This window comes from Homo sapiens, chromosome 5 (genome assembly GCF_000001405.40).
Source record: "Homo sapiens chromosome 5, GRCh38.p14 Primary Assembly".
Classification (NCBI taxonomy): Eukaryota; Metazoa; Chordata; class Mammalia; order Primates; family Hominidae; genus Homo; species Homo sapiens.
Genome location: NC_000005.10, coordinates 87719989 through 87743209, shown reverse-complemented (window position 1 = coordinate 87743209; position 23221 = coordinate 87719989). Strand labels below are relative to the sequence as shown.

Sequence of the window (23221 nt, the reverse complement as noted above, 5' to 3'; positions counted from 1 at the left end):
CTGAACTAGTCATTTAATTTTTTAAAATCAGAAACAAGTTTATAAAGTTGTGTAGGACATGAATAATATAATATATCAATTGGCTTTCCCCTTTTCAGTTTTACCATTATGTAAATAAAGTTAAATATTTGTATAAAATTTATAACCTGTCGCTATCATGAGATTTTTTTTTTTTTTTATCTAGAAGAAACTTGAGAATAGCTACTCCACCCCATTCATTTATAAATGAATTATTAAGACCAGAAAGGTCAAGGACTTTTCACCAAAGGGATAGTTGTGAAACTAGAATAGAGCTAAAGTTCCAGCTTGAAGTTATCTGTTTTTTTCTACTATTCAGCATTCACCTTTTGAACGCCAAAGTGGAAAGAGGGGAAGAGGAAGGCTGAGAAGAGACTTAAGTACTATTACGAGTGAGCTTGGTGTTGATAAGGTCGATGCCTATACATTTTTGGAAAGACAGTGCTGTTTGAATGTGTTTGACTTTCTAAGGGCCCGGTAACTTTCAAAGTTTTTTATGTGTTTTATGAGGGACAGAATTTGCACTCCATGTTTGGCTAAGAAAGGAGATTCAGTAATTTTTATATTTCATTGTGTCCTGTAAGTAAAATGTGCATTATATTATGAAAAGTGAGAAAGAAGATAATTTTCAGCTAAAGTACTAGTCAGCAGTTAATTTTAATTTTCTTTTCTTCTTTGTAAGGTTTTTTTTAAAAAATTTTTTTTACTTAGAAGAATTGTTTTAGTAAAAAGTAAAACATCTATAGCACATTTAGTAATTTTTTTCCATCTAGTTTAACTTATTTTCCTAGGGAGAATGAGGTGGCTATAAATACCTTTACCACTTGATCTTGTAGCCGTAAATGAGGGCAAAACTCCCCTTGGCACTAACAAGAATTTTGTCTACGAATAGTTACAGAATTGGGTCCATGATGATTATGAAGCAATTTGATTCTTTCCCAAGAGATAGAAAACTCTAGCACAATTTTCAGTTGGAATATACACACTAGCATCTTGTCCATATTCCTAATAAGAACAAGAATGAAGGAAGAAAAAAACCAGGAATTCTTGTAGGCTTTAGCCGGCTTGCTTCAAAAGCCTGTCAGCTAAACAAATAAAGTGAAGTAGCAGTGGGAGGGAGAGCCAGGAAATTAACTGCTGTGGGCTATAGTTAATGAGTGGTCCGATGAAAAAGAAGTTTTGGTCATGGAAGTGTACACATAGAATGAAAAAAATTAACACTATCAAAAAGAGTTAGCCTACACAAATTGGATTCTTATTCAATTCTGAAGTTTATTGCTTTCTTGTGGGATCTGCCTCCAACCAGCTACAGAAGCTTTCCCTTACCCCCGAGCCCCCACCCCCAAACAAGATGAGTGAGATCAATCAAAAGATTGAAACTTTGAAGCATGGTTAGACTGCTGGGTAAAAGCATGCAAAAATATGCCTGAGACTTCATTAAAAAGTGCCTACACAACAACTTGGGTAAAATCCACAGCATCTTGGCATTGCCACCTCATTAGGGGTAAAATGAAGTGGTCATTCCCTGAAAACTGCCCCTGCCATATTCTGACCAATCCCACGAGTGTCTTGCTCAAGCTCTGATTTAAAGCTTAAGCAACCACAAATCCTCTCAACTAAGTCTGTGCAAGGATCCGTTGACTTTATGCAATATGGTCTAAGCAAGGGCAATGTCTCTCTGGTCTCACTTTTTAAAGACAGGATTAATCAGAGATTTCCCACAAATAATTTCTTGCCCTTTTTCAAAAGTTTGAGAACAAAGTAATCAGCAACTTACTTGAAGAAGTAAACTACCCATTTTAAGAAAACACTGCTTTGGATATGACAATGACCAAATTTTGTCGAAATGGGGCATTCTTGAAACATTCTTGAAACAAATGCTTCGGTACCTGATATCCCTGTACTGTATGCCACAGGGAATTAAAAACCAATAAGCTCCTAGGACTGAAGAGGAGCAAGTCTTTCTCTTAAGTATTCTCTCTAATTGTGCAACTTAAAGAGTAGTTCAGGGACCAGCATCACCTAGGAGCTTATTAGAAATGCAGAATTTGGAACTGATCTCAAACCTCCTGAATCAGAATATGCACTTTAACAAGATCCACCAGGTCGTACTTTTGCACATGAAAGTTTGAGAAACACTGCTCTGAGTCAAGGGTTCACAATGGAGTATATCATTGAATACTAATAATAAAAATCCTTATAAATGTCATTCTACCCGAACAACTTACCCTTAAACCCCCTTCCTGTCAATGTGGTTCTAAGTAGCCTAGTGACACAAGAGGCTTCAGAATTATTCTAACTAAAGAGTGCAAATTCTTTGAGACACAGCAGTGGCTGGATTTAACATAAAATGATGTGGGCCAATTATCCCAGCTAAAATCTTGATAGCACCATTACTAACTTTTGTGAACTATTTTATTGTGGAGGTGGAGAAAGTGCTATAAATAAGGTGTTTGAAATCGTTTGTTTTTTAAGAGTAAATCTTTAATGTAATTTACCCTGAAAAGACATAGAGGGGCCTAGACCAGTTTTCTATTGAATCACAGCTACAGTTTATATTAGTAATTTCCAACTAAAACGTCTTACAATCAGAACTAAGCTCTTATTCTCAAGGGCAAATTTGTCACTAAAACCTTGTGATAGTACATGCAGATGAGTCAAATGATATACTGCTGAGGTAAGTTTTAATTAATTCATGGCTATCATTAATGGCTATATTTTAATAATAATTTCTTCTTATATTTATACCCTTGTCATGATTTTATAAAAAACACAAAAATATTAGCCTGGTCTAAATCCCTAAGAGCACAATAATTCCTAAGAATTATCCAGAGTCAAGTTAGATGGGCCACGGGCCTCAGTCAAATATTTATATTAACCTGGATCTTGATTGTCATCCTGAAATTCATCTTTTCAAAAACAAACATACTCCTGGCTTTCTTATTTTTAGTTACTACTACATTATATTTCTGTGACTTATGAATTTTCAAAGTCCAGAATTTTCTAAAATGTTTTTGGGATAAATACAAGTGCTCAGGGACATTAAAGGTCCTATGGTTAATGAAATTTGGGAAATACCAGATTAAATGAAATTATATATGCTGAGATACACTATTACTAACCAATAGCAGGGCTATAAAGTACAATGTTCTTTTATCCTCAAAAGCCACGTGTTAGGTGGACACGGTGGCTCATGCCTATAATCCCAGCACTTTGAGACGCCGAGGCAGGCAGAACACTTGAGGTCAGGAGTTTGAGACCAGCCTGGCCAACATGGTGAAACCCCTCCTCTGCTAAAAATTAGCCAGGCATGGTGGCACATGCCTGTAGTCCCAGCTACTCTGGAGGCTGAGGCTTAAGAATCATTTGAAACTTCGAGCTGGAGGTTGCAGTGAGCTAAGATCACACCACTGCACTCCAACCTGGGCAACAGAGTGAGACTTTGTCGCAAAAAAAGAAAACAAAAAGCAACATGTTTAAAAGCATCTGTGATTTGTGTCCTGAGTTACATACTTTGGGACACCTAATCTAACTTCTAATTGTTTAAATTTTCATTTTTCTGAGTACCATATTATACCACTCACAGTAAAAACAGTAAAATAGCATATTTGTAGTCTGCACTGCACAATTTAGCACATACTTATAAACTCTTTCATGATTCATTGTTGTTTTGTCTATTAATCTTCCCTCCCAACTAAATTGTAAATTTGGGCTGTATGAATCACATCTTATATTTTGATATCTGCTACAGAATTGAGCCCTGTGTTGGATATGGTACGTAATGAAATACTTACAGGTATACTGACCTATGCTAAAATTAAGTTTTTCAAGTTTCCATGAGTAGTCAGTTGTAGTATTTCAGGATTTTATGAGATAGTTTGTTTACTTTAAGTAGAAATTTCTCATTATTTTATAAACTTGGATTCTACATCCAATAAGCCTGTCTTTCTGGACAGTGAATATAAATATTTCTGGCCAATGAATATAAATATATAATCACAAAGCTGCCACTGGGATCTGGATCTTTCCAGGTTATTATTTTTTTTAATCTGTGTTATATCTACTGGATACTATTTCTTCAATTGCAGAAGCAGAAATGCCAGAGAAACTCGAAGTGCAGACACACCATTAATTTGAACATGTTTTGCTATTTATTTCATCATCAATGCATTTCATAATGAGACTCAACAAATGTTTGTGTTCTATGCCGCAGATGATATTGAAATTGTAAGTCTAGAAGCTATCCAATACTTTTATTCATGTATAAGGATGCTGAGGCCCAGGGAAGTGAAGTCAACATCTTTCAGGAATGTTTACAAAGCTTCCTATATTTGTCTTGCTAGTGTATCATTCTTATTATAAGTACTGCTTCCATTATACTTCACTAAAAGAATAACAGCAACCTACTTGTTTTCTGTGAAGTTCAGCTGTCACTTTGCTCCATGTTCACCTACACTGTGGGCACCTACTTGAATCTGACTTTTTCCACAGACATTTCAAAATTAAGATGGAAAAAATACCTTTTTTTGAGCTTGGAAATTTCACTTAGTGTTCCATCTCCTCAGGCATGAGGTGATGAGTAGGGGAGTCTGGAATATTCCTATCCCACCATTTGGGGCCACTAAAAAATTCTCTTGGTGTCAGTTCCTTTTGATCCCCTGACAGTAGATCTTGCAGATATACACACAAGGTCTTCAGATGATAGGAACAGCTCATGCTGAATTTCATGAACTGATTAATTACAACCGCATCATACGCCATATGTATTCAAAAATACGATTTTTTTTAACAGATTGGATTCTAATTGTTTTACCCTGGAATTTACCACCACCCAGTTATAGAATTCAGATTACCATACCAGACACATGTAAGTAATATTTGGAACTGTCTTAGTACCCTAAATGAGTTGCTCGGTGAGAAACAAGAAGAAATTATTTCTTTTCCCACTTAGAATATAAATATCTTTGATTGTGTAAAATATTGGACTTAGGTGGTTTGTCTAATCACTTGCCTAAAGGCAGGAAACTGGACCCAATTGTTTATTAATATTCTTTATTATGTTAATCTACATATCCTTCAACTGAGTCCTTTTTTTAAAATCTTGGCATCCCAAGCAGTAAAAAAAGTCAATCACCCTTTCCCAAAGGATGTGTGTCCATAGAGATAAATTTTATTCTCAAGCATAAAGGTTAAACAAAAGGTAAGAAAGTGAGATTACAAAGTCAAGGAGCTGCCTCAAAACACCAATCAATGTTTTTAGTCCCACCCTGTCCTCATCTGGACACCATTAGGAGAACCACTAAAATTGAATTCAACTGCTATGTATTATGCATGATGCATTGTGTACTGTATTGTTCTATGCCATTCATTTCACCTGAGATGAAGTCAGGCAAAGGAGGCAAATTAAGTCTACCTTCAGAACTCTAGATCACCGACTCTTATAAAAATTGATTTACTATTTTATCTAATGTTTCAAAAACTCATTTCATTAAGTTGTAAATCACATCATTCAGTACTACTACATCAGAAGGTAAAATTAATGATAGAGATAAGGACATTAGAAAAAGCCACAGCATGGCTACATGACAACATGAAAAAAATAAATTGATGAATAGCAGCTTAGGAGCAGTGACATAGGGTTCAGATTTAATTTGAACGGTGAAGGGCATCATCCTATTGAGCAGACTGGATAAGGGTAAGTTCATATTGGCACATGGTTTGATGTCATCATGGGTGACATGGAGCAGTGGTACAGTGAGAAAATAACATGTGGCATTTTGAAGACCAGAAAAATAAAATTTGAGGTTAGCCCTGAATGAAAGTGCTTTTTCTTTGCCAGATAAAGAAACACTATCCAGTAATTCTGAAATCCAAAGTTTTTTTTTTCTTTTCTATTAACTCTTTAGAAGTAGCCTTAAAAGAATACAAAATTGATGGCAAAGATGTGGGGTCATGTTAATTATAGATAGCAGGTAGACAGGTTGTGAGTAAAAATTTAATGTCAGTACAATTTTATCAGAATACAAGAAATGCCATTTGAGATATATGCTATATTAGGAATTTCAGTACCTTTCACATTACCATTGTACTTCCTATGCTTTATTATACTAGTATTTATGCCATCTGAAGAAAGGGGATGGATTTAAATAGAAGACAAAGGGATATTTAATTTTACGTATTGATAAAGAAGCTGAGGTATAAAGGGCATGTCAGCATAGGCAATCCTTTCTACAAGAAATTCTAAGACATCAACAATTAGGTGTTCTCAACAGATTGATCATAATAAATCATTAGCTCTCAAAGCCATATACTGATTACATCCAGTCTGTGTCAGTAATTTTTGCCTTCATATATTTTGGTCATCAACTTGTCCTGTCACTGTCTGCATCAGGAACTGGCTCTATCATGGCCGGGAGAGCACCTGTCCCACCTGAAGCTGCAGTCAAAACACATAAGGAAAGTCAATAACTGCTCCTCATCACAGAGTTTGGAAATCCTGACTTACACGTATTACTGAGTCAAAATGTGCTTGTGAAGATCAGAGTGCGTCACTTTACAAATGAGGAAAGTAAGACAAGAAAGAGAGCCCCTCACTTTTTAGTCATCTCATGACAGATCTAGGAAATGAACTCTAGTTTTCTGTCTCTATTTTAATAAGCCTGATCACAACAAATAATCAGTTTGCTTCCTTATTCTCCTTTCAAGGAAGAAATACTGTCTATATTTTGAATGAGTCTAAGAAACAAGGAAAATGTCTATTTTCAGAGGGAGCAAATGAACCTATGATGCAAAGTGTAAAATTTACATTTTCTTTTATGGACATGACTAAAACTAGTATGATAATATATCTTAACAACCTAAAAGTGAGAAAGTAAAATAGTCAACCAAATCCTTAAAATGATACAATATTGAACCAGTTATCAGAGTCTGAAAATGAATCCATCTACATATGCGATAATAAAGGTTTGGAGATCCTAATCCTGAAAATTTACTATGTGAGTCAGGCCTCCTGCCTGATTTGAAATGAACACATTTAAGGCCCAAGTGCATGTGACTGTCTCCTGATTTATGAGTGAGATTGAGGCAAGTGTGCACTTGCCCATGAAAAGTAGACCTCTCCAGAACTCTCCTTCTGACCACTGAAGAATCACACTCACAGCATGAAATAATCAGGTCTCTGCTCATAAAATAACCACATTCATATTTCTTTATTCCTGTAGGACTAAGAATTGATTTCTAATGATGAGCAAGCAATTTTTTCTTTGAATTAGAAATAAGATTTTTAAACCTTTTATTTCTGTGTGTGTTACATACTAGCTTTCGAGGACCATCTGTATTTACAATTATGTGGAGGGCCTCAACGCTATAGCATCTAAATATTTTGTATAAGACAAAGGAACATACTAAAATCTTGCCAGTGTCTGCAAGAGATTTGGGCAAAGGTGAACAAGCCCCAAGCATCACTTGATTTTTCTTCAACATAGTATCTTTTATATCGATTACAAATGGAGGAGTGTACACAAACAGGAAGCACAGGAGTGGAAAAGAAAAATAAAAAATAACATGGGGTGTTAAAGGAAATAAAGAAAACAAAACGCATGAGACAACAAAGTATAAGCAAAAGAGGTGCCCAAACAGGAACATTTACACGTGATGAAATGGTGCATCTACCTTGACCCTGTGCATTATGTTGATTTTCTGTATTAAAATTTGTACTCACTCTTAAACACTTTATAATCATTTTGAATCTCATTGTTCATAAATAGGTCTTATATAATACACTTGTAACTCTGGATAGAATTTAAGGTTCTATTTCATCTTTAAAAACTTAAGAAACAGTGAAATACAGAGATTAAAGCAGTTGCTAACTTACTTTTTTGCAATGAATATTTATTAATGTCCAATATGTACAGCTAAGAGCAAATGAATTTGAAGAATAAGTAAGAGCTCATCACTCTAAGAAGCACTGACAAAAGTAAACTAAGAAATAAGAAAATGAAAATAAAAATGATATGATTACAGCTGATTTTCATCTTGACAAACAGGTCACTGACTAGTTTACCATAGAAAGGATATTAGCAATTGTTGAGTGGTTCCTAGGGAAAAGCTGAGAACAATGATGGGGCTGGGGTTGTGGGGGGTGGATTCTTACAGGACCTGACCCACTGGTACACTTCATGTAAGAAAGATGCAATAGCAAAAATAACCAGTGCTTTTCACGAGTTTTATCAATAAATAATAGATTTTCACCTAAAATGTTAAATAAGGGGAAAATTATGTAATATCAATGCAGACTTTCTTCATTTTGCCCATTAAAAGAACTTTCTTATAAAGTGAGAGAAGAATATTTTGATTATTCTTTCAACTACATATTATTTTAAGTCTCAATCCAGTTGAGATCAGTTGATTGATAATTATTCATCAGATTTTGGCTCTATGCACGGCAAAGTCAAATATTAAGGGCAGAAGACAGGTTATGTTTCAAAAATGATCCTATGTTGTAATTGCACAATTAGTACTGTTTCCAACCCTTTTCTCAGTTTCCAGTGTTAGGGTGGACAGATAATTTACAAAATGCCTTGACGCTCAACATTCCTCCACAGTCTAGAAGGGGTAGAAGGAAACTCACAAGGTCATAAGAACTTGTCCACCAGAATTCAAATCTCGGGAGTATGGCCGAGTGCAAAGCTGCCCATTAGCAGAGATGAAGGTCCTCAGTTCTCGCCCTGCAGGATTGGGCAGCTGAGGCTCTGCTCCTTTAGCCCCAGCTTGCATGATATGTTAGTGAATGAATTCTAAAGATAAAAGACATCCCTGAAAACCTTTTAATAAAAGCAAGGTTTCGGACTAACTGTATGAAAACAAGATAACAAACGGGTGAGCCTTTAGAAAAGGAAAATTAAGTGCCTTCAGCATTTCTGAAAAACAGTATAAATAGCCTGCTTGGGTTTTTACTGTGCTACATGTTGTGATAGAACCAAAAAGGAAATAAAAAAGTGCCTTGTTTTCTCATGGACGAACTGCATTTGCATAGTTCTATGACAGCAATGCAGTGGCTATAGAGGTCAAATACTCAGAGACTAGGCCGTTGGGGCAAGCCACTCCTCCTTCCTTTCATTGTTTGTCTTATCCACAAAAACATACTATGCAATTCTCTTTTCCTAAGTTAGATGATAATTCAGTAGATTTATACATTGTTTATTTTATTTAATAAATCCTCGTATCTAAGGGCTTCCCAAATTAATACTAAATAGAAACTAGTGGCAAAAGTAAATATTTTTCTCCTGAATCTAATCTTTTATTAATCTGCATACATGTTATTCCAAATATATACATGTAGATTGCCACATATATATGTGCATAGAATGTATAAATACATATATATTATACATGAATGATTTATTACAGAAATATCAGTGTTTCTAGATTACACTGCATACTTGATGAGCTGTCATTAGTGCAGAAAGGATACATAGCTTTTCAACAAAAGAAAAGAATGAGGCTGCCAGAGTGTTGCAGTGGTTTGGGTTTTTTTTTTTTTTCCAGCATCCATCCCTGCCAATCTCTGCACTGCCAGTAGGGAAAACCATATCCATGGCAACCAACCGTACCATTCCAACCCACATCAATGACGCCTCCAATCTAAACTGTCAAATATTCTATGCACATCATGTAAAATAGGTCTCTTTCCCCTTATACCTCTGCGCATCTCGTTTCCGTGGCTACATGTTTATGCAAATGAGAGTTGTCCTTTCTCTCTCAGGTTGATTGAACACTGAATTTATTTTGCACCTTGGCAATGCAAAGCCATGCTGTCTTGCCACCTGGTCTACCACATAATTGCAAAAAATTACATTATAATGATAACTGTCCCCAAATTAGCCTGATAACACCATCTACCTGCCTTGTGAGTGAAAGAAACAGTGCAATAAAGAAAGATGTTAAAACAGAGTCGAGATAGGGGAATAATGTTTAATTGGCTCTCCAGAGTCCACTAATTTTCAGAATTGGAAACCTAGTGTTTGATTTGTTCTTTTTAGTCAGCGAGAAGAAAAAATATCCTTCATAAATTCTGAATGACAAATTTGCCCATCCTTTTTTGCATGTGGTTCCAGCATCCCAGGGAATCTAAAGTGTCATTTCCTCTCTGGAAGAAAGGAAGCACAAAACATGCTAGGTATGTACTCTTAATTTTCACTCAGTATCAGTTCTAACTATAAATTTCTCCCAATTCCTGTAGCTTTCTCATTCTTTTTCTCCAACCCTCTCCAAATCTTACATCAATACCTTTCTTTTAAAGTTAAGATGCAGGATTTTTACAGGATGACACGTATTAAAATAAAATAAAGCTGGGACTGTAAAACAAATTACCTTCTCTCCACCCCCAACTCCTTTAATCTATTGCTTTCCACTGGATTATGTCCTATAAATGATTTTGTTGTGCTGGTTAGTTTTGTTTTCAGGAAAATCACATTTTGCAAATAATGAAATAACTAATTGTTTATTTAGTTAATTTTTAATTATGACATATCAATATGATGACTTTAAGGACTATATTCATGTTAATTTTTTTTACAAAAGAGAAAGAAATATGCAGGTAAAAATGTGGCTCATAGTATATTTCCCTAGGGTGTAGGTGACAAAATAAAAGATACTAGGCTCTATTATGATAAATGTTGAGGATATATTTCACTTTTCCCCCTTCTTAAGACCTATTTCCCTGCAACACAAATCCTTCAGTATGTTTTTAAAGGAACCATTTTATATAATTCCATGAGATTTTTGTCTTAGATTGATCTTCTAAACTTTGTTTATACTCTGAGTTATCTTTGAGTAGATTAGGGAAGAGCAAAGCTTACAAAGGTAGCTAAGATCTCTTTTAAATTTAATAGATGGTCTGTAAATGTGTCCTGGCCAAAGATTAAAAATCTGAAATTTCCAAAGAAGGATTCTTAACCATCTTTCCCCCAATCTTCTTCTCCAAACTGTAAATATTTTTTAGGGTTTAGCTGAGAAACCACTTTCTCCCTGACTCAATTCCTATCTAAAAAGATAACAAAGTGATTGTTGTTCCCTTCTTGATCTCTTGTTTATATCAGTGCTGTTTCAGCATTTCATAAGATATCATTTCCTGTTTGTATGACTTGCTCTCTGATAAGATTACAAACCCTGGGGCAAAGTTGGGGAAAAGTAATATTATATCATTCTTTTGTATTTGCTATCCTTAAAGTGAATATTTTGCTCAGTTAAATTGAATGCCAAGTCTTGATTGTTCTTGGATTTTAGGCTGAGACATTTGGACAGAGAGCAGCTAATAAATGTGTCTCAGGTCATGGTAGGAGAAGAGAAACCAACTTTTAGTTAAGTGTTCATTATGTTCAAGAAACCATGTCAAATATTTTACATATGGAACAATAATCTTTTCCTTGTTAAAACTTACTTTTAAATAACAGATTATATTTTTTAAAGCATAATATTTTAAAGAGAGGACATGACATTCATCCTTAGTAATTCTGTTTGATTGTCATATTTCCACCAATAATGTTATTTGCTGAGCACTATTCTTGGCTCTATGGGGAATAACTAAGGAAGCAGAAGACCTAATTTTATAAAGATAGCAACTAAATAGGATGATAAATACATATAAACACAGGCGATAGGAATGATTTAAAACTCAGCATCAATTATGACACTAAATAGCTTGGAAGGCTAAAATATATCATTATTGGAGTTAATTTCTAGGAGAAAAGTATGGATGAAGAGTTTGAATAAGATTTACCTGAAGAGGATAAATATTTAAGGATATGACTTTTTCATTAAGTCAGTTTTGTTTTTTTTTTTAAATCTAAGGTTTGTGCATTTGTACTATCCTCATTTAGTCTCAAGGTTAGAGCTTGGGGTTGGAGCTTTAGGTATCCCCTGCTGAATTTGCCTTATTTGCTATTTAACTTTGCCTATTCGTGTAAAGTAAAATGAAGAAATAAAGCATTCTTTTGTCAAACATAAGGGCTCAAAAAGTTTCTCTGCATTCCACATGTGAAAAAAATAAGGTGTTTATGCACATAACTAGAAATTGCCTTAATTCTCTCATCCACTTATTGTATCTACACAATTTACACTGCCTAGATTCCTCCTATGAGATTTCTCCTTAGAAACATTGCAGAGAAAAATAAACAAACAACAAATAAAATCCCCCAATTCCATCACCTACTTTCTTAAGTAAGAGCACCTACTTTCTTGAGAAGGGATAATACTATATTATCAAATAAATAATAATAAATTCTTATGAGACACTATGTTCCAAACGCTGTTCTAAGTCATTTACATAATTTAAGCCATTTGCTCCTTACAACAGCTTTATAAATTAGATGCAATCATTAACCCTAAGAAATAACAGATGAGAAAACTGAGGCGTAGAGAGGAACCTAAAGTTGTGCAGCTAGAAAGTGGTAGAGCTGGGACTCGAGCCCTAAGAATCTTGCAGTAAAGTCTCCAAAGTGTTAACCTTTTTATTTCTATGTCGTATGACATTTTGAGAAATAATTTTATTCTCAATTATCACAATAAATTTGCATCAGTTAAAAAATTCTTAAAATTGTAATATTTGCAAATTCTGTCTTTATAATTCAAATTCCCTTTTATTTCAGTTTTTCAAAGCATGATATTGAATCCTCTCTTGGGGAGAAAAATCTCTTTCTGAAAGGCTTCAAAATTGGAAACATTATTTTTAATTCCAAAATTAATTGTTAAATGTATGTTGATTATTTCACATCTAGACATCCTTCATTCAGCTAGTCAGTCAGTTAACAAATATTATTGCAGACTTACTAAGTGCCAGGCACTGTTCTTGGCTCTGGAGATTTAGTAGTGAGAAAAAGAAAGCCTATTACTTTATGGCACCCACTTTACAGTAGAAGGAGGGAAGAGAAGAGAAGAAAAGAGAATAGAAAAGAACAGAATAGAATAGGTCATATGGTGAGAAGTGTTATCAAGAAAAATTAAAGCAGATGGGAAAGGGGACTGCTTTTTTTTATTATACCAGTAAAGGTCTTTTTTTGATAAAGTGACATCTGATCAAAACATTGAATGAATTGAAGGAGGGAGCTCAGAGGTGGAAACAGGCTTTCTAGGCTCAAGGGCCCATCAGAATAGTTGGATGGTATAAGGGAGAAGAGCTGCAGGAATTGCTGTCAGTGAGGCAACAGATGGTCAAATCACAGAGGAACTTGCAGGAAATTTTTAAGTACTTTCCCTTATTCTCTGAGAGAGATAGGAAACCCTCACTGGATTTTCAGCAAAGGAATAAGAGGAACTGACTTACATTGTAAAAGAATCACTCTGGCTCAGAGTGAAATATGGAATAGGGGGCCAGATGAAATCAGGGAGTCTGGTTTAAAAGGATTGCAGTAGGTGAAGGTGGCATGTGCCTGGATGACATGGAATGAGTTGTAAGATAATTATTTTTTTTTTGAGATGGAGTTTTGCTCTTGTTGCCCAGACTGGAGTGCAATGGCACAATCTCGGCTCACTGCAACCTCTGTCTCACGGGTTCAAGAGATTCTCCTGCCTCAGCCTCCCAAGTAGCTGGGATTACAGGTGCCGGCTACCACGCCCAGCTAATTTTTTGTATTTTTAGTAGAGATGGGGTTTCACCATGTAGGCCAGGCTGGTCTTGAACTCCTGACCTCAGGGGATCCATCTGCCTCGACCTCCCGAAGTGCTGGGATTACAGGCATGAGCCACCACACCCAGCTTGAGATAAGATTTTAAATGTGTAAACTACAAGATTTTATAATTTATTAGATTTGAATTGTGAGAAAAATTGAGGAGTAAAGGATGACTTTACACATTACATAATGAAATCGAAAGTTTTATACTTAGGTGTGAAATGTATCTTTAGATAAAAATTAAACATTTGAAATAATTTGAAAGTTATAATACAGTTAAAATTCTTCTCAGCCTAGCCAAATTTTTTAGATACTCAATTTAAAACAATTACTTGATCATTACTTCTTTATTGCCAATAATTTTTTGATGCTATCCAACTCTTCACTGAAGATGCACCTTGGTAAAGTTAGCAAAGTTCTTAATGTAGGAACAAACTCCTCTTTCTTGAAACACTCTTTTTCATCTTCCAAATCTCAGGTGTCATGTTCCTTTTGTCCTGTTTCTTAAACCATTCTTTCTTACCTTTTTTTGCGGCCCCCTCTTCGCTGGCATTTCCTAACTCTCAGTGCTTTTTTAGTATTCTGTTACGAGCTATCTTCCTATATCCATCTTTGACTCCACTTGGACAAGCTTCACCACGAGAAAAGTTTCAATTATTGTCTAAATATTAATGACATCAAATTCTCTAGTCCCTTACTGTTCAGTGTGGTAGCTCCATCTGGCTCTTAAATGCTTCAAATGTTGCAAATACAAATTAAGACGTGCTATAAGCATAAAATAAATGCTGAATTTTGAAGATGTAGGTTTTTTTTTTTTTTTTTGACAGAGTCTCACTCTGTCGCCAGGTTGGGGTGCAGTGGTGCGATCTCAGCTCACTGCAACCTCTGCCTCCCAGGTTCAAGCGATTCTCTTGCCTCAGCCTCCCGAGTAACTGGGACTACGGGTGCGTGCCACCATGCCCAGCTAATTTTTGTGTTCTTAGTAGAGACAGGGTTTCACCATGTTGGCCAGGATGATCTCGATCTCTTGACCTCGTGATTCGCCTGCCTCAGCCTCTCAAAGTTCTGGGATTACAGGCGTGAGCCATCACGCCCCGCTGAAGATGTAGATTTAAAATAACAGAATATATCAATAATTTTTATATTGATTAGACATTGAAATAAAATTTGTTGATATATTGGATAAATAAAACATACTGTTAAAATTTATTTTATCTGTTTCTTTTACTTTTTTATTATAGCCACGAAAATATTAGAAGTTACAGATACACCTCACAGTATATTTTTATTAAACAGTGCTTCTCTGGCCCCATTGATATTTCTTCAGTATCAGACTTAGCCCGTGGCTTGGTATATAATGTGTTAATAAACATTTATAAACTAAATAAATGAATGTACAAAACAAAAACCTTTCATAAACTGGAAAAAACTTTGCACAAAATGTGGAGACGGTATACAAACATTTTCTAAGGAATGCTAAAAAGTGATGTTCTTATAAGGAGATAACCACCATGTTTTGAATGGGAGAACTCAGTTTTCTAAAGATGTTAATCGTCCCTAAAGTGACACACATTATAAGGAAATGATTCTCATAATTTTTCTTTAGAACTTAACAAAATAATTTTAAGATTCAACTAGAAAACTAAACATGGAATAATAAGTCAAAAAAGATTTAAAACAAAATAATTATAGGGGATCATATCAAGTTTTTAACAAGTTATAAAACTTCAAATATTAAAACAGTATGAAGCTTGCGCCAAAATACATAGATCAAGGAAACAAAACAGAAAGTTCAGAAACAGACAAAACTACAAATAAGAATTCAGTACATAATAAAGGTGGCCTTTTAAATCAGTGAAGAAAAGGTGTATAATATGATAATTTCTTTTTTAAAAGTGTGATGACAACTAACCATTTGACAAGAATAAATGTAGATCCTTAATTAACACCTTAAAATAAAATGAAGTCTCCAAATGAATTAGATGTAAGTACAAATAATGAAATTTAACAATATTAGAGGAAAATATAAATGCATTTATATAGATAAAGAAAGCTCTTTCAATGAAGAATTAAGGCAGAAATGGAAAGATCTAACTAAATAAATATTTTAAGACATTCGTATGGGGAAAAATAACACAATCCAAGTGAAAAAGCAAATGACAGAATTATAACTATGTGTGACAGAAAGGGTTAATGAATTTAGTATATAGAAATCTTACAAATTGTCAATAAAAAGAATATATAAGCCACTAGGAAAGTGGGCAAAAAGTATAAACAAGCAACTTACAAAAATAAAAAATGTAAGTGATTAACAAAATATGATGAAAATATTATACTTCACTAGTAACCATAACCATGAATATAAGACAAGATGTCTTCCCTGCCCTCACCAACTATTAGGCTATCAAAGGAGGAAAATTGTCACTGTGATTGAGACTGAAAAGCAACACACTCTTACAGATTAAAATTAGTAAAAATGTTATGAAATATAAAAGGAAGTGATGCATTTAATTCAGAAATTCTATTTCTAAGAATTTTCCCTAGTAATCAGATGGATTCATAAAAATGAAAATGTGAAGATTTGAATATCACAATATTCTTTATAATAGGGGGAAAATTGAAAATAAATGGACAGCCTTAGGTTAATACTTAAATAACTCATACAGCCATAAAATGAAATTCTACCCAATCATTACAAATGATGGGGTCTATATTGATAAATATGTGGCATGTTGATGACATGTTGCTATATGCTAAGTGTAGTTTCCCAAAAACTGTATCTACGATGATCCCACTTTAAAGATACATTTATTTCATTCATACACATTAAAAGAAAGTATTCTCCAAAATGATACTAGTGCTTACACACTAACAGTGCAAATATGGCTATCATGCCAATAGTGATAGGATTATGGGCAATTTTTTCCCGCTTGCTTTTATTTTTTTGTTTCTAATCTTTCTACATAAATATGAATAAGCAATTAAAAATGCGCAAACACAAGCAATATATATATATTGAAACATTGTGATTTATAGCAATGCAAGAAGCCTTACAGGCTATGTTTATACTGTCAGAATTCACTTGTGCCACATTTCTATTCCACTTTCTGACACAGTGAAGCCTCACACTCATAATCTCCTCAGCACACCTATATAGGTGCTCACAAAGGAGCCTACAGACATGCAGTTCATCTCTGCTGAGAGCAAACGCTGCTATGCTCACTCTCAGAGAAACATGGCAGGCATTGGCATTGTCTCACAATAGGTGCCTGAGTTTGAAGGAGAAACTTTGAAAAAAAAAATTGTTTGGTGTTTTCATGTCCTTTTAGGACATACTCAACTAACTTGCACAGGGAAGAGAGTTTGGCTTCAAGTTCTTTATCCTAATAGTAAAAATAATAAGACTTTTGCTTATATGAATGTACACTAACTTACTTGTTTTCAAAAGAATCTTGTGAGCTATGTTGGCTGCCTTCCTCTTCTTCCTACTCACATGTTAGAAAAATGAGATTCAAAGAATTTACATGATTTTTTTCTAAAGAGCAGGATGAGGGTTCAAACTCAACTATCTTTCTTTCAAACCTTAGACTCGATTTCATTTCAATCTACAGCCTTCCATGCCTACTGCTGAAAGGCCTAGTCTTTAAATAACTAGGAAGAAGAGAAAACCCAAACACTTTTGATTATAAAATATGATTGATAAGAAATTATAAGTGTTTCACAAAATATTTTTTAAGTGGTACTTTGCAATTGTATTGGTACTTTGCAATGAAGAACCATACAAAAGAGAAGAAAAAGGAAAAGGATCCTTTAAAACTCCCAAACAGACATTTTCTTTTTGAAAGTTACTTCTTGTCCAAGAAGATATTTTTTCAATTACTGGGGGAAAAAAACTGGAATAAATATGCTATGAAATACACTGATTTATTTGTATTAAAGAGAGTATACTACAAAGAAAATACTGAATTAGAGAAAAACATACATGCTACAGTGCTGCAAAATGTACTGCTCATTTCATGCATCTAGTATTCTTCAAATATGAAAAGTATTATAGTTTAAAGTAATACTATGCTTTATATTTCAAAAGCCAAAAGGAAGGTTGAAAATGGCCTAAAATATCTACAAATCAAAGGTTTGTAGCTAAATGTTTTATAAAAACATAAATTTGGTATAATATTTTTCCAATTCTGAGCCAGCTTTCTGTACATTCACATGCAAGCATGCACCGGTGTCCTTCTCTATGAACATCATTGCAAAGTGTCCAATCAATTTGCTTCTATTATGAATCATGCCCTATTCTTACTGGTTTTCTGCACATCAACATTCAATGAGTAGACTAAAAGCCCATGCTATGTATACTCATCTAAAATTCTTCCATATACAACCTTTGCAGAAATAACTGAGCCAGAACGCATATCAGTTATATTGCTTTCATGTTTGAGGCCCAACTGTTGCACCTTCTGGGTCGATGCCAAATAGAGATTTTTCTAGTAGGCAATATAAGTTTTCACTACTAATTGGATCTGGCATGTACTCTCACAAATAGTCACATTTGTTTTTTCTTGATTGATTTTTAAACTATTTGTCAATGCAAGGTCAACAGTGACCCTTCTCAGGTCTTTCAGCCATGGGGATTGGTCCTCAGCCTGCTGAAATGCCAAGCAATTTTAGTTTATTTCATTTGTCTACTTCATGTTTATAAAAGTGCATTGACATACACATCGACACACTGTTTTTTAATGAGTTGTAAGCGTTTGTTGTCATTAAAAAAATATATTTTAGAAAATTTGAAAGAGAAAAGAAAAATATCACAGTCACCACAGTAACACAATTATTATTTGTGTTTATTACCTAATTTTTTAGTAATAAATCCTTAAAAATTATTGTATATTTTAAAAATATGTGTCTTAGTCTTCTCCTTCCCTTTGGCCCTTAGGTATACATAATTACAGGAATTACAATCTTTGTTCATGACAAATGCTATGTAATGTTCATGCAAGGCCCTATTAATTTTTTACTCACTTATTTGTAACACTATAAGATCTCTCACAAATTCACCATCATCTCCTCATATATTAGGAGCTTCATATTAACCTACATCAAATGTTTTGTTCCTCATTCCTCACTCTGCCTTTCCCTACTAAAGGTAACAATCATTCAAAATTCTGTTCTTACCAATCTCTTATTTCATGTATTGCATTTAGATGCACTCCTTAAAAGCTTATTTTTTTTTAGATTGTTTAAAAGTTGAGCATACTGCATGTAATCTTTTGGAATTTATCTTTTCATTTAATAATCTTATTACTAAGATTTATTCCCAATGTTGTCTGTCACTCTATGTCATTCATTATGATTTCTGTACAATAAACCATTGTGAATATACCACATTTTTTTCTTCTATTTTCACTTGGATGGACACTTGGGTTGCCTTTATTATAGTCTTTAACTGTCAGTTTTAGTAGTTTTATGATATTCCATCAATTTTCCTAAACAGCTCTATATATTTTTTATTTTGTTGCATATAATACATTGCTCTATTGATCAAGGTTGGAGTGAGCACCTCTGTACTAATAGGTTTCCTGCAATATATATTATACCTTAGACAGAGACAGAATTATTAGGTCAAAAGATATAAGCATAATAGATATTTCCAATTTGCATTCCAAAGGATGACAATTCCATCAGCAATTGCACAATTATCACATCACCATAAGCACTGTCTAATTTATTTTTTGTTGTTAATTTAAAAGATAGTTATCTTTTGGCTGGGTGCAGTGGCTCATGCCTGTAATCCCAGCACTTTGGGAGGCCGAGGTGGGTGGATGACCCGAGGTCAGAAGTTCGAGACTAGCCCGACCAACATGGAGAAACCCCGTCTTTAATAAGAATAGAAAATTAGCCAGGCATGGTGGTGCATGCCTATAATCCCAGCTACTTGGGAGGCTGAGGCAGGAGAATCGCTTGAACCCTGGAGGCATAGGTTGCCGTGAGCTGAGATCATGCCATTGCCCTCCAGCCTGGGCAACAAGAGCAAAACTCCATCTCAAAAAAATAAATAAAATAAAATAAATATAGTTATGTTTTACTTTTAAGCCTCACTGATTTCAGTCAATAAATGAATATTGACATATTAGAGGTAAGGCATTAAGAGTGAAATAATGGCTCATAAACGAGCTCAAAAGTCTAGTTTGAAATTCTCAATGGGATATATTGTCAGTAAGCATTGTTTATTCTTACTAGAGTGATTTTCAACTTGCAAGTAAAAAAGCTGAAGCTTAAAGGAAATGAGTAATTTTTCTAAAATTATATAGTTAGTTTTCTATCACACTGTATTGCTTCCCAACTGACCAAATGTAAAATGGATCATCAAAATTTTTAACTTGTTTTCATTTTGAGTGATCTCTTTAAATTTCTGTAGGATTTATAATCTTGGCCCTACAACATAGTACTTGAACACGCATCTACTGTTATTTTAATTCCACCCCCCGCCCCACCCCAAGGAATGGCCTTCTTTTCCTGCTGTTGCTTCTCCCTTGAATTTATCCCTCACAATGTGTTGTAGTGTCAGGTCTAGAGCAATTTGTACAGACAGACAAGCTGAGCTGACCTGTCTGAAGTCACACTCTTTCTATGTTGGAGACACTTGTCTTACCATTCCTCTAAATCAAAATATTATTAATTATGTAGATTTGATATCTCATTTTCAACTCATTCTTCTTTCATATGCCATATGTTCAATAATATTAATTAACTAGTTTGCATCACAGCATGGCATAAAGTGCATTGCAGTGTTTGTATAATTTATATAAATGTTTGCCACAAGATTACTTGGCCAATGGAGACAGTAGTAGGGACTTTTTTTTTCAGTCTCACACAGAACAACATTTGCCAGGCACTCACAACACAGCCACTCTACTCAACTACCTCAACTAGAGACAATTTTTGTTCAGTCTGATTCATCCCTAACAAAGCAAACATATTTAATCCTTGGTCTTTATGACTAAAGTCAGCAGTTTTACCCATCAAAGCTGCAAGTTCCCACCCTTTTCCTGCATGCCTGCAATCTGCATCTGAATTGCCAGATGATTACTCTGCTGGGTTCCTTATGCCCACTCATAAACAGTTACCGGTCTTTGTGGTCCTGTGCAAAAATAGGCCCCTGGATGAGTCATTCGTTGTGTATCCAGATACCGGCAAGATTTGTAAAACAAATTCACATTTTTCACTTTTGTTCTATCTTTCTGATCTTAGCTTGGAACAATTAGCTTTCCCTAGGTTTTGTTAAATAGAAATATGCCCATATAACATATTCTCCTTGCTTTCCCCTTCTGACAGAGCAATTTCTTTGGCTATAGAAAGATGCATTTCCACAGATTCACCAGATAAAATATTCTCTGCCCTTCTTCCTCAGTAACTGTGAAACTGCGTTGGCAAAATTATGACTGAGATGGTGAAAGAGATCTAACTTAACTGACTCCATCTTGCTTCCAACCTCCCAGCTATCCTTGTTCATTCCTGGGCGTAGGCTGAACTAACTTTGGGAAAAAATTAGTTTATAGTTTAAGCAAAGATGGTAACAACCTTTTCCCAAGGCAGACCTCCTTCTTACCTGGGGACTAGATTGTGTTTGTAAGACTAACATTAGCCACAAGAGTAGAAATTATGGTTTAGGAGTCATGCAGCTGGAGGATACAAGATTCTGACCCTCCATAAACTGCTCCTAAGATCAATGCTTGAGATATTTTGCAGACCCTGCACTTGATGGATCAGTTGGCCCCACCCAGATCAATAAACTGGCTCATCTGATCTTGTGGCCCCCACCCAAGAACTGACTGGATGCAAGAAGACAGCTCCAACTTCCTATGATTTCATCTCTGACCAATGAGCACTTCTGGCCCACTGGCTTCCCCCACTCACCAAGTTATCCTTAAAAACTCTGCTCTCTGAAAGCTCAAGGAGACTGATTTGAGTAATAATAAAACTCCAGTCTCCCTCACATCTGGCTCTGCATGAATTACTCTTTCTCTATTGCAATTCCCTTGTCTTGATGAATTGGCTATGTTTAGGCAGTGGGCAAAGTGAACCCCTTGGGCGGTTACAAGTTTGAGGGCTCATCCAGGATTGCCCTTGTGGCTACCTTCCCGTGGTTCAGTGGGCCCCCTCCAGTGATGGATTCAGAAGCCAGCCCAAGTGACTGCCTAGTTCTCTTGGACTGGGGACTGACTCTGGTACTCTCTCTACTGGCTGGGTGCTGCTGACCCAATGTGCATGGATTTAATTGCAACGGAGAAATAGTCCTGGGGAGACATCCTTAACTGTAGCCCTATCACAGGGTGTCTGTCTGTAGCCCCGTGGTGGGGTGTCTGTCTGTAGCCTCGTTACGGGGTGTCTGGATTGGTGAATCTTAAGTACTGCCAACACCTCTTTCCTTCTCCCAACTGGTTCTGTAGCTGTATGGTTCAGCTCCTTGTGGGGGCAGTGGGGGTGGTCTCAGTTGGTTCTTTCTAACTAGTGGGAAGAATCCTGGTTTGGGAAATTTCTCCTCAATCAGGAAGTTTTTGAGAAGTTTCTCAGACAGAGAATAAGAGGATAGTTTTGAAGGGATACTCTTGGAGTTCTTGGTTAGGGATCTGATTTGGAAGGCCTTCTGTCCATCTCATCTTTGTATGTGTCTGTATATGTGGAAGGGATCTCAGAGGGGCTGCTGATGGAAATCTAGCAGAACTAACTCAGAGAACCCTCCTTATTTGTGTGGTCACACTCGATGAGATCTAAAGAAGGCTCAACAGGCCTGTCTGTCAGGGTGACTATCTGCTCTTCCCCTTGCCCAGAAACCCTATTGTGAATTACCATTCAGAGGTCGTCCATCACCACCTGGAGTGTATCAAAGACAACAGGGACCAAAGGGAAAGCGTTTGAGCTTTGCCAGGCTGATACTGGGTGCTGAATGAGGTGACTAATGTCTGTTTTGTTATTTGTATTTTGCTGGGATGGAAAATGTTAATTTGGTTCCCCAAGCAGCCTGTTGGGCAGCATCTTGCAAACTGAGAATCTTATCTATGGCTCCATGAGCAATAAAAGGAATTTTCTCTTGTAAAGTGCCTTGAGCTCCACAGCTATAGCACAAGTAAGCAGGGTCATCAGAAGCTGCTCTGTTCTTCTGGAAGCTGCAGAGAAAGGGAACCCAGAAACCTGGTATGCCAGCAAAAAGGGTAAGAAATTCTTCCCAGCCAAGTTTCTGGTCTCTCTCTCTCTCTCTTTCTCTGTCTGGATAAACAGTAAACTATTTGTCACCTCTGCAAGGGTTTGATTAACAGAAAGAAGGATTTGTGAGACTAGTCTTAGGCTGTAGGAAATCTGGTGTACTTTGTGCTAAGAATCTGTCTTTCTGTGTTCTGTAATGGAGAGAGAGGTATCACAGGATAGAATGTGGGTATAGGGCCCCTATAATCCTGCTTTTCAAGTCAGTTTGGCAAGTTGGTCAGTTACAAACTTTGCTATGGGTCCCTGAAACAAATACTGTATTTATAAAATTT

At 35.5% G+C, this 23221-nt stretch overlaps 1 long non-coding RNA gene across 1 annotated transcript in view, besides 2 other annotated features; it reads left to right on the top strand.

The window, feature by feature from the left end:
- The first annotated feature begins 10133 nt into the window (after window positions 1–10133).
- The window catches only part of LINC02144 (long intergenic non-protein coding RNA 2144), a 75109-nt gene continuing 62021 nt past the window's right edge, over window positions 10134–23221 (top strand). Inside the window, exon 1 of the long non-coding RNA NR_183312.1 lies at window positions 10134–10195. This is a non-coding gene — a long non-coding RNA (long intergenic non-protein coding RNA 2144). The remainder of the gene's footprint in view (window positions 10196–23221) is intronic.
- Window positions 20264–20764: an enhancer, noted in NCBI's record as "OCT4-NANOG-H3K4me1 hESC enhancer chr5:87018263-87018763 (GRCh37/hg19 assembly coordinates)". NCBI's record gives its function as "activates a minimal SCP1, AML or CMV promoter by ChIP-STARR-seq in naive H9 embryonic stem cells {active_cell/tissue: H9 hESC(naive)}" and the evidence as "EXISTENCE:reporter gene assay evidence [ECO:0000049][PMID:30033119]".
- Window positions 20765–21265: an enhancer, noted in NCBI's record as "OCT4-NANOG-H3K4me1 hESC enhancer chr5:87017762-87018262 (GRCh37/hg19 assembly coordinates)". NCBI's record gives its function as "activates a minimal SCP1, AML or CMV promoter by ChIP-STARR-seq in naive H9 embryonic stem cells {active_cell/tissue: H9 hESC(naive)}" and the evidence as "EXISTENCE:reporter gene assay evidence [ECO:0000049][PMID:30033119]".